The sequence below is a fragment of the Homo sapiens genome, chromosome X (genome assembly GCF_000001405.40).
Source record: "Homo sapiens chromosome X, GRCh38.p14 Primary Assembly".
NCBI classification, from domain to species: domain Eukaryota; kingdom Metazoa; phylum Chordata; class Mammalia; order Primates; family Hominidae; genus Homo; species Homo sapiens.
Window position 1 is genome coordinate 44275056 of NC_000023.11, and position 12610 is coordinate 44287665.

General features: G+C 41.9%; 1 protein-coding gene and 1 pseudogene across 4 annotated transcripts in view; one reads left to right on the forward strand and one right to left on the reverse strand.

The window, feature by feature from the left end:
- The window catches only part of EFHC2 (EF-hand domain containing 2), a 195801-nt gene that overhangs the window by 127184 nt on the left and 56007 nt on the right, over positions 1-12610 (reverse strand). Inside the window, exon 1 of one of the 4 annotated variants that reach the window (XM_006724562.3) lies at positions 1918-1951. The exons of the other annotated variants lie outside the window; for them this stretch is intronic. The gene's annotated coding sequence lies outside the window, so the exon portion shown is untranslated. Of the gene's footprint in view, positions 1-1917; positions 1952-12610 lie in introns of those variants that run through there. 4 annotated transcript variants of the gene reach the window in all.
- On the forward strand, positions 9011-11584 carry TATDN2P1 (TatD DNase domain containing 2 pseudogene 1; annotated as a pseudogene).

Consider the following 12610-nt stretch of genomic DNA (forward strand, 5'->3'; position numbering starts at 1 on the left):
CTGTCACCCACCTCTATATACTGAATGCTGCCAGTATAAATTTGAGAATGACTACACTGGCATAGGTCAATTGACAACTGGCATAGGTCAACTGTCATGTATGTAATCATTAAATATTTATCAATCAAATGATGCATTAAAAGAGAAGGATGCTAAATTGAAATAAAGAGAAAAGGAAAGACATTATCTTAGGTTGGGCTTCAATATGTCTAGATGAGGGACAGACTGATATTTCATAGTCTGCTCCCATGAGAATACAGGGCTGTCAAACTCCAGCATGAAAGATACAGAGCAAGTCAGAATGAGGTAGAGATGGAAAGATAAAAAAGGAAGAGGAAGAGGAAATTATAAAATGTGGTGAAGTAGAATGTAAGAGGAGAGACACCAAATAGATTAAAAAGTGATCTCACAAAAATAAATGATCTAATTGCAATGGAACTTGATGTATCAGAGAATCCAGAAAACAGAACCTAAAATAAAAACTGTTAAAAATGAAAATTTATAGGAACATAATTATGATGTAAGGTGTTATCATCATTTATGATGTCAAGCAGAAACTAGATAAATAAGGTCCTAGGCCGGGCATGATGGCTCACACCTGTAATCCCAGCACTTTGGGAAGCCGACGCAGGTGGATCACTTGAGGTCAGGGGTTCGAGACCAGCCTGACCAATATGGAGAAACCCCGTCTCTACTAAAAATACAAAAATTAGCCGTGCGTGCTGGCACATGCTTGTAATCCCAGCTACTCAAGAGGCTGAGGCAGGAGAATCGCTTGAACCCGGGAGGTGGAGGTTGCAGTGAGCCGAGATGGTGCCACTGCACTCCAGCCTGGGTGATAGAGTGAGACGCCATCTCAAAAAAAAAAAAAAGAAAAAAGAAAAATAAGGTCCTAGAGGATGTAATTGGCTGCAATTTTCTTGAAAACGGAATATAAATATCATTTGGTGGGGGCATGTGATCTTCAGTCCTCCACAGGCCTCTCTGGCTCTGCAGGCCCTATGATATTATATGAGGTTACCTACCTGATCCTCAAGGCATTTGGAATTTTAATCTTAGCCTAGAGGATATAAAACCTTAGACCAGGCACAGTGGATCATGCCTGTAATCCCAACACGTTAGGAGGCTACATCAGGAGGATTGAAACACTTTAGGCCAAGAGTTCTAGACCAGCCTGGGTGACACATGGGTCCCTGTCTCTCCAACAATTTTTCTTTATTTAACTAGTCAGGTATGGTGGTGCGTGCCTCATAGTCCAAGCTGCTCAGGAAGCTGAGGCAGGAGGATTGCTTTAGCCCAGGAATTTAAGGCTGCACTGGGCTATGATCATGCCACTGCATTCCAGCTTGGGTGACAGAAAAACAGAAAAGAAAATAAAAAAGAAAAAGAAAAAACTCCTGAAATCTGAAATCAATTAGCTTTAAATAACAGGTATATGATTTCCTCATTACAAAGGAAAAATTTTAAATGTTAATGTTTCTGAATTCAGGATCTTCTTACAATTAAAGCCAAAAGAATCTCAAAGCAGTCAAGAATGCATTTTGATGGGAAGTAGTTCTAACTTGATATATGGTGCAAATTTAGCTTTGTAGAGAAGAATCTATCCTATCTTCATGACAGTTGAGTTATTTGCTTAGCATTGCATATCCCAAACAGCTGGATTTTAACATTAGATTCTTAATTTTCACTTAAAATGTTTGAAAATGATTATTGTCTGATGCAGTATGACACAAAAAATAATTGCGTGGAGAAGGTTGTCCATTGCAGGCTAGACCATGCAACTGTAAGGCAAAGGCAAAAGCCTAATTTCTTAGAATAAAGCATATAATTTTTAAAGATGGGGAGGCTGATGTGGCCAATACGTGAGTCAGAAAGACTATCACTTCAGGAATCAAACATCTAATGTCAAAAACTTACAGCTGAGGCCGGGCACGGTGACTCACGCCTATAATCCCAGCATTTCGGAGGCCGAGGCGGGCGGATCACGAGGTCAGGAGATCGAGACCATCCTGGCTAACACGGTGAAACGCTGTCTCTACTAAAAATACAAAAAATTAGCCAGGTGTGGGGGCGGGTGCCCGTAGTCCCAGCTACTCGGGAGGGTGAGGCAGGAGAATGGCATGAACCTGGGAGGCAGAGCTTGCAGTGAGCAGAGATTGCGCCACTGCACTCCAGCCTGGGCGACAGAGCGAGACTCCAGCTCAAAAAAAAAAAAAAAAAAAAAAATCTTACAGCTGAATTTCTAGAGAAGCTGTCAGGAAAGAAAGACAAAACATCGGCAATGTTCAATAACCTCAACATTTTATAAAGAGGTCAACATCACATGTCCAAGTTTAATATGTTTAAGCTCTGTTTTATGAAAAAGGTTCAGACTTAAATTGTGAAGTACTATAAAAGGGATATAATGGTAAGGATAAATGCATGCTCTATATGTTAGTAGACAAGAAAAATTTGTGTACATTTAATACAGTGTTGTTTATTCTTCCTGAAAAAGCTGTTATTAAATCAATGGTTTCTCTCATGATTATGAAGTCCCATAATCAAGGAAATAAACGATAATACATTTTGTGTTGCATATAGAGGATGGCTCCTTTATACATGACAATATATATATTTACAGAAATATATCTGAAACATATGCTAATTCACAAAAATTTTAATAAATTTTAAAAACAGAAAAATTATACAAGTTATATTCACTGATCACAAAGTAATACAACTAGAAGTGTATAATGTACCTATAAACGAAAATTGTCACTCCTCATAATTGTACCAAAAATAAATCTAAAAATATAAAAAATATACAAATAAAATTTATATACATGTATGTAATAAATTTATATAAAAGTATATAATAAAATATAAGGCCATACAAACCTATAGGATATAGGCAAATTTGCAATCTGGGGTAAATTAATGGATTAAAATTATTACATAAAAGAATTTAGAGTCTGAGAGAGAGGATAAATTGCTAACAGTGTTTCTCAGCCTTGGCTATGCATTGGGAACTTTAAAAAAAATTTGAAAGACCAGATCTGGCCGGGCGCAATGGCTCACACCTGTAATCCCAACACTTTGGGAGGCCAAGGTGAGTGGATAACCTGAGGTCAGGAGTTGGAGACCAGCCTGGCCAACATGGCAAAACCCAATCTCTACTAAAAACACAAAAAATAGCCAGGCACGGTGGTGGACACCTGTAATCCCAGCTACTCAGGAGGCTGAGGCAGGAGAATCACTTGAGCCTGGGAGGTGGAGGTTGCAGTGAGCCAAGATTACGCCACTGCACTCCAGCCTGAGCAACGACAGAGTGACATTCCGTGAAAAACAAACAAACAAAAAACCCAGACCCTTGCCTAAGTAAGTTAAATCAGAACCTTGGGGAGGGGACTATTACTATTTTTTAAAAGCTACTGATGGGGTTCAGGACATGCTACCTCGGCAAATATGCCGAGGCACATGGCACCTTGGCATTTGAGAAAAAGGCAGAAGCAGGAAGGTCTCTCTGACCTTCTTCCATCATTCTCCCCGGAGGCAGGTCATAACACCTAGGAAGGTCATTCTCTGACCTTCTCCCTTCCTCCTTCCCTATAGACTCGCATGTGACAGGTGTCCTGCCCTATACCCAGAGGAAAGGAGTGTCACATAAGGATGAAGAATAAAAATCGGAACAAACAAATCTTGCTATTATAAGTTCCCCCCAGTTTATTACCATTAGATCATATCCTTTTGTCCTCCAGTCACAGTTCTACATGACTGTCCATAAAAATAGTTTTTCCTGTTTCTTTGGATCATTTCTGAAGGCTCCATGTCTCCTGAAGCTTTCATTAAATAAATTTGTGTGCTTTTCTCTTGTTAATCTGTCTTTTGTTATAGAGGTCTCAGCCATGAACTTTGAGATAGGCAAGTACAAGATCCTTCTTTTTCTTTCCTACTCTCCCCAGGTAATTCTGAAACATAGCCAGAGTTTAGAACCAGTGAGCAATGATTCAAACAAAAGCTTTTAAGGCCGGGCGCAGTAGCTCACGCCTGTAATCCCAGCACTTTGGAAGGCCAAGGCGGGCAGATCACCTGAGGTCAGGAGTTCAAGTCCAGCCTGGCCAACATGGTGAAACCCCGTCTCTACTAAAAATACAAAAAAATTAGCTGGGCCTGGTGGTGCATGCCTGTAATCCCAGCTACTCAGGAGGCTGAGGCAGGAGAATTGCTTGAACACAGGAGGCAGAGGTTGCAGTGAGCCATGATCGTGCCACTGCACTCCAGCCTGGGCGAAAGAATGAGACTGCCTCAAAACAATAAACAAAAGGTTTTGAAAAAGCAAAAATTTGTCATAAGAAAAACAGAAAGCAAAAAAGATAGTAAGGATATATAAATTTGAAAGAAGAAAAACAACTGCAATAAATAAATCCAAGGACTTTTTAAATAAATAAAATAGATAAGATTTTAGAAAGCTCATCAAGAAAAATATAAATAAAATGAGAAATGATACAGTGCATGACAGAGATGCAATTATAAGATATAAACCATAAGATAAATTATCTTATAATAATCATGCAAACATATGAAAATGAATTTTAAAATTGCAATTAAATAAGTGATATTCTGTAAGAACCGTGACTTATCAAAAACACAATGAATAAGCTAATAACCAAGTAAGCAGTGAAAAAAATTACCAAAGAATTGCCCCAATAAAGTCTCCAACCAGGATGATTTACTAATGAATTTGTTCCAACTTTCAAGGAAAAGAAAATTACCAAATTATATAACTCTCCAGGATACCAAAAATGATGGAAAGCTACAAAGGTGAATTCCTATGCCTAATAGACGTACCATGAAAAAAAAGTAACTGTAAAACAATAGTTCTCACCCTGGCTACACATTAGAATCACCTATAGAGCTTTTAAAAATCCTGATGCATTGGCCACACTGTCCACCACCAGCCCCCCAACCCCCGCCACAGACATCCACCATCCCCCATACACACACACACACACACACACACACACACACACACAGAAATCAGATTCTCTCAGGGTGGGCCTAGGCATCAGTAATTTTTAAAGCTCCCCAAGTGATTACAAACTGCAAGCCAAGGTTGAGAACTACTGCTACAGAACAATTTCACTACTTATGATTTACAGAAGATCCTAAGTAAAATACAAGCAAACAGAATTTAATAGTCTGTAACAGTTACAAGCCACCTACACAAAAAAAAAACAGCATTTTACTCACAGATGCCAACATGTTTCCCAATTAGGAAATATGAGCAAATATATAATGATCTCACACCATTTCCTACCACATACATTTTTAAATGCAAGGGTAGTTCCTTAACAAGATTACAAAAAGATCTGCTTTAAAACAACAGCCTAAATATCTAACATAATACTTAATTAAACTATGTGCCTACCAAAATCAGGAATAGAACAATAATGCCCCTACTAGCATCATTATTTAATATTGTTTTTAAAAGCTCTGGACAACGTAGAAAGATATGAAGTAAAAATATTAGCAAGAAAGAGACAAAAATTATCATTATGGGTAGATAAAATAATGACCTAGGCAAAGGCTGAAAAACTAACAAAGATTTCAGTACAACCATACCTGAATTTAAAATATTCTTATGTGTTAGCAATAACCAGCTAGACCATACAATGGGGGGAAAGTATGTTCATAATACAAAATTACAAAATACTTAAAAATAGTTTTAATAAAAACTCTGTGACCCAGATAAAACTCTAAAAATATTTACTAGAAGATATATTAATAGAAGAGCTTGACTAAAAGGATAGGCGAAGTATATTCTGGATAAGCAGACTAAAATAACTTTTCAAGTGGGTATTTCAATGTCATTCTGGAGGGACTTAGAATTATTATTTTTTTTTTAGATGAAGTCTCACTCTGTCACCCAGGCTGGAGTGCAGTGGTGTGATCTGGACTCACTGCAACCTCTGCCTCCCGGGTTCAAGTGATTCTCCTGCCTCAGCCTCCCGAGTAGCTGGGACTACAGGGGCACACCTCCACGCCTGGCTAATTTTTGTATTTTTAGTAGAGACAGAGTTTCACCATGTTGGCCAGGCTGGTCTCAAACTCCTGACCTCAGGTGATCCACCCGCCTCAGCCTCCCAAAGTGCTGGGATTACAGGCGTGAGCCACCGGGCCTGGCCTAGAATTATTTTTTTAAGTCTACCTGATAAATAGTTCAGCCTATTAAAGATAGTTGTAAAATTTAAGTGTAATGAAGGAAATCTAGCTCTCCCAGACTTTATACCTTAATATAATAGTTCATTTATTAAAGTAGTACAATACCACAGTAACAAGAGACATAGTAGGTGTAAAAGAACAGATGCCCTGGAAATAGACTCTGTTAACAGGAATTTAACACATAATGAAAGAGGAGTCACATATCAATAAGCAAAAAAAGTACCAACTTGGAAAAGCATCAGTGTATAGCCTCCTTCCTGTAAAATCCAACCCAAATATCAGATGAAGTATTGGCTTAAATATAATAAATCAATTCCTTTCACCTTCCAAAAAAATAAATATGTGTCAAGCCTCAGAAGGAGGAATGACATTGCAGGCTTGGGAGAAAAAGAGAAAGAAAACATTTTTAAAAATTAAGATTTAACTACATAAGTTATAACTCCGATATACTAAAATATAAACAAAAACATGCTAACAAAACATTTTAGAAAATATGGCTAAACTTTAATTTTATAAAAATGTTTAATTTTTTAAAGACCCTAAAAGAGAAATGGGAAAACAGCATAAACAAAATTCATGAGAGGGTCAACAAATAAAAAGAAGTTCACTCTAAGAAACTGTCAGATTAAGTGCAAATTAAAATAACAACGAGGCATAGGGTTTATGTGTGTGTTTCTCCTATTAAATGGACCACTCATTACGGATGAGATTTTAAGTTAGTACAATTTTCTGCGGCAATGTAATGTTATGAGGAACCAATTTAAAATTCCTACCTCCTCTCAGGAACTCCATTTCCCCGCACGTAGTCCAAAGAAACAACCCAAAATACAGAAGAAACTTGTATGTGCAAAGATGTTCTTTGCAGCTTTTTATCATAGAAAAAAAAAGGTAGAATAAGGGGACCTGAAAAGTTAACAAAAAGGGAAGGGCTTGGTGAATTACGGCACATCTACGTTCTCCATGGAGTATTATAAAGGCACCAGCATGATATTTTTGAAAAACATGAGGCAATAAGAAAAATACTGAGGCTATACAGTAATGTTAAGTGACTAAAACACAGGACTGGGCCGGGCACGGTGGCTCACACCTGTAATCCCAGCACTTTGGGAGGCCGAGGCAGGTGGAACACCTGAGATTAGGAGTTGGAGACCAGCCTGGCCAACATGGTGAAACCCCGTCTCTACTAAAAAAAAAAAAAAAAATACAAAATTTAGCCTGGCATGGTGGCACGAGCCTGTAGTCCCAGCTACTTGGGAGGCACAGGCAGGAGAATCACTTGAACCCAGGAGGTGGAGGTTGCAACGAGCCGAGATCGCACTACTGCAATCCAGCCTGGGCGACAGAGTGAGACTCCCTCTCGGGGCGGGGGGGGGGGGGGGGTGGGGGGGGGTGGGGGGGTGGGAGAGGAGGACAAAGAAAAAAACAAAAACAAAAAAAAAACACCACAAGACTGAAAATTGTTATATACCACAGTCATAACTATGTTTTTTAAAACTATGTTTTTAAACTATGCTCTAAAAACCATGACTACGCTTTTGGAAGAAACTGAGGGTGGAGGGGAGGAACAAAAAGCATGTAATGGCTGCAGCTCGGGTAGACACGTGGCTGGGCAGTGAGAAGAGGCGTGGTAAAGGAGGGGCTGGATGGCCGTGGGGAGGTGAGTGTTGCTCTTAGATGGAGCGGGCTGCTGGCCTGACCCAGGCTGGCAGGCGAGGTGATGGGGGCTGGGCAGGCTTCCCGACTCGGCTTCTACAGTATGTTCTGCCCTGTCCTCCAGCTGGCCGTTGGGGATCAGGGCATCTAGGCCAGAAGCCCACCCAGGGGCACCCTGTGTCTGATCCCTAAGGTGTCTTGTAGTCATTTCATGGACTCTGACATCTCCAAAGGGCCTTGTATTCCAAACCAAAAGTAAGAGTTTTGATCGGAAGCACTTTGTTTGTTTTTGAGACAGAGTCTGGCTCTGTCCCCCAGGCTGGAGTGCAGTGGTACGATCTCAGCTCACTGCAAGCTCTGCCTCCCAGGTTCACGCCATTCTCCTGGCTCAGCCTCCCGAGTAGCTGGGACTACAGGTGCCCGCCACCACACCCAGCTAATTTTTTGTATTTTTAGTAGAGACGGGGTTTCACCGTGTTAGCCAGGATGGTCTCTATCTCCTGACCTCGTGATCCGCCCACCTCGGCCTCCCAAAGTGCTGGGATTACAGGCGTAAGCCACGGCGCACGGCCGATCGGAAGCACTTTGACTCCCCGGAAGCACTTTGACTCCACGGAAGTACCTTTTTTTTTTTTTTTTTACATCCGGGAAGTTGCACAGCGCAAAATCAGACCATTTGGGACAGTCTTAGGAGTGCGTTCCGGGCTCGGACGCCATACCAGGCCACTTTGACTCCCCGGAAACACTTTGACTCCACGGAAGTACCTTTTTTTTTTTTTTTTTTTTACATCCGGGAAGTTGCACAGCGCAAAATCAGACCATTTGGGACAGTCTTAGGAGTACGTTCCGGGCTCGGACGCCATACCAGGCCTGGATCCTTAGGACTTCTCCAGAGCACTTTGAAATAATTGTGGAAGGGCTTTGGCATCTCTAGAACACCGAGAACTGTGATAGACAGTTGAAAAAAGGAGGCGCCGGAGTGGCGTGAGGGCCCTCCAGCTCTGGGGCCCGTCGGCACGCAGAAAAGTACCACCGGAGCGGCACTTAGGTAGGATCCCCCAGCAAACACAGGTGCCCCGCAGAGCTCAGTAACGTGGTTTGCAGCAAACACAGGTGCCCCGCGGAGCTCAGTAACGTGGTTTGGAAGGGGAGAGAGGCCCCAAAGGCCTGAAAGGCCTAAAGGCTACTTTGTGGCCTGCACACCGTGTTTTTCTCAAGGTTCATCCTGCCACAGAAATTCTTTCTCCTCCTTCTCCTCCCATTCCTCAGCCACTGGCCTGATTAGGGCCGGCTCCAAAGACTGCCTCATTTGGAGCATTTGGAGTTCCTTTCGTCCTTGTGATCCCCAGTGCACTCTGCCAGCCCCGTTTTTAAAGAAATGGCTTCTCTGGAGGAGGGTATCTACAGCCTTAAAATTAATTCCAAACGTAGCTCCTATAATTCCATGAACCCTCAATTTACAGCTGGAAGTGAGGGTCAAAATGAAACTGAGGAACCAAACAAGTTCCAGAGCAGGAAGGGTAGACCTCAAGATAGTGGCTCTTCATTGTCTCTGAGTGTTCTCCAGGAGATCCTGGGAGATGACATTCCAAAAGTAAAGGAAGAGGCTGTCATTAGTTCACAATCAGACCTAGGAGAGTGTCCCTACTGTGGAGAAAGACCAGCCAGGAATGCCACTATCTTTGCTCCTCAAAAAGAGAAAGAGTCAGCCCCAGAAATGAGCAGCTCCTGTGACAAGAGGGTGACTGTTAATCCTCCTGAGAAATTCAGTGAGGGGCGACCTAAAACACAAAATACACTCATTTGTGAAAAATGCTCTCAGCCTTCAAATTTTCTGGATGACTATAACCCCCATGTAATAATCCAAAAGCGACTTAGCAACCAAAGTAGAGTCATTTGTGAAAAAAGCTCTCCACCTTTAAATGTTCCGGATAACTATAACTCCCATTCAGTAATTCAAAAGCACAAAGAAAAGATGGCAATTGAGCGCCCCTCTTCAGGGAGTGACTGGTCTGATGTAGGTGGAACCACAGTCATATTCTCTGAAGAGAAGCCATTCTCACTGTGTCTTCCTGTAGTGTCAGAGCCTCCATACTACGCCACTGACTACACCACTTTTCCACCTCATTATAGTCCTTGGCATGACTACACCAGCTCTTGGTTCAGCAGTACCAAGTCTTCTTGCTATCCCTCCTTGGGCAGCAGCAGTAACACATTGCAGGCTGGGAAGAGCAGCTGTAGCAGCAGCAGCAGAAGCAACAACAACATATTCCAGGGTGAGAGGAGCAGCCACCAGAGCTTCCTGAGTGATTATTCCACCAGTTTTCCAGTGAGCTCCGAAAACACATCCAGAGATCTGAAGATGACAGAGGAAGGCAGATCCAAGAATTCTTCCTTATTTTACTACTCCAGAAATGTGGAAGCAGAGGCGAAGGAGGAGAGAGTATATCAAGAGGAGACATTAGGACATCCTTATGGAGGACGTGCATCTAGCTTTCCGCCAAGGACCATCTGGCAGCCAGAGCAACCGGGTTTCATTGATACCCACTGTCATTTAGACTTGCTATATTCCAGGCTGCCTTTCAAAGGCACCTTTACCAAATTCAGAAAAATTTATAGCAACACCTTCCCCAAGGAGTTTCAGGGCTGCATTTCTTGCTTCTGCAATCCTCAAAACCTAAGTGATAACCTGTGGGAGGATCAGTTGAAAGATGATCTGGTTTGGGGGGTCTTTGGCTGTCGCCCTCATTTTGCCCATTATTATAACAACTATCAAGAAAGAAGTATTTTAAAAGCCTTACGACACCCCAAGGCTGTGGCATTCGGCGAAATGGGCTTGGATTACTCCAGTAAGTGCACCACGCATATCCCAGAGCAGCAGAAAGTATTTAAGAGACTGCTGCGGCTGGCCGTCTCTCTAAAGAAGCCCATGATGATCCACTGCCGAGAAGCCGATGAAGACCTACTGCACATCTTGAAAAATTACGTGCCCTCTGACCACAAGATACATCGCCATTGCTTCACTGGGAGTTACTCAGTCATCGAGCCCCTGTTGAACCACTTTCCCAACCTGTATGTGGGCTTCACGGCAATTCTGACTTACTCTTCTGCTGGGCAAGCCCGAGAAACTGTGAGAAAGATCCCGCTAGAGAGAATTATTGTAGAAACCGATGCTCCCTTCTTCCTCCCTCGCTGGGTTCCCAAAAGCTATTGCCAGTATGCCCACCCAGGCCTGGCCCTGCATACTGTGCGAGAGATTGCCAGAATCAAAGGTGTGTCGCTCTCCCACACCTTGACCGTCTTGCGGGAGAACACCCATCGCCTCTACCATCTTTAAACAGAAAAGGCACAGTCAGGAGTCTTCCCAAGAAAGGAGACCGGTAGCCTAACAAAACATACAGACTAGATTTGAACTCTGCGTATGTCCTGGGTCAAGGATGTGTTTGAAGAATTCGTTGGAACGGAGTAAACTAGGACAGGATATTTTCCTCAAAACCTTTTCGTAAGACTTCTGTTTCTGGCTGGTAGGGTGGGGTACAATGGGATGGCAGGAGGGTTAAGGTAAACTGCCCTTGATGTTATTAAGGTTTTTCTTCCCAGCAAAAATGCCTTAAGGTAGCCAGTAAAGAAGACAGCTTGATAGAATACAAAGAGTTTCCCAATCTAAATCCCTGTCCTCTGCAGCCTGCTTTTGATCGCTTGGTGAATAAAGTCACCCTCCTACTTGTCTTTAAAAAAATGTAGAATTTTAAAAGTGAGGTAGGTGATTTGTGTATTATATTTGTATATTATAGGAATTCTATTTAAAAAAATTTAAAAATCGGCCGGGCATGGTGGCTCACGCCTGTCATTCCAGCACTTTGGGAGGCCGAGGCGAGCGGATCACTTGAGCCCAGGAATTCAAGACCAGCCTGGGCAACATAGTGAAACCTCGTCTCTACAAAAAAAAAATAAAAACAACAAAACAACAGCCGGGTGTGGTGGCACACACCTGTAATTCCAGCTACTTGGGAGGCTGAGGTGGGAGGATCACTTGAATCCAGGAGTCTCAGGCTGCAGTGAGCTATAATCACACCACTGCACTCCAGCCTGGCAACAGAGTGAAACTCCCATCTCTAAAAAAAAAAAAAAAAAAAAAAAAAAAAGTTTTTTAATGAAAAATAGGCCGGGCGCAGTGGCTCACGCCTGTAATCCCAGCACTTTGGGAGGCCGAAGTGAGTGGATCACTTGAGCCCAGGAGTTTGAAACTAGCCTAGGCAACATAGTGAAACCTCGTTTCTAAAAAAAAATTTTTTAAATAAAAAATGTAAGTATACACTCAACAAGGTAAGCAAGATATACACACAATGAGTTTTCCTTTCAAAAAAAATTTTTCTATCAAAAAAATTTTTTTTAATTTTAGATGAGAAAACTACTTTTCCAACCTGCTCCTCTCTCCCTGCATTTCTGTGTGGCAAATGCAAGTATTATACTCTGCAGTGTTTCTAACATGCAGGAGAGAACCTTGTTGCAATTCACCTTTATTTCTTTAGGAAGGGGAGTGAGCAATGTAGTTCTGAGTGTAGTATATCAAGAGTGGCCTAAATCAAAAAGCACAACCTTCATTTACTTATTCCATGAGTGAGGTAAAGAACAGTTCACTTACTCATGTTACTAGTAAAATCTTGCAATGCAAATGTGCAAAATTTGGGACACTTAGTAAATAGTTTGCTACTTAAGTGATAGATATTCCATTGAACCTCGAAGAATTATTATT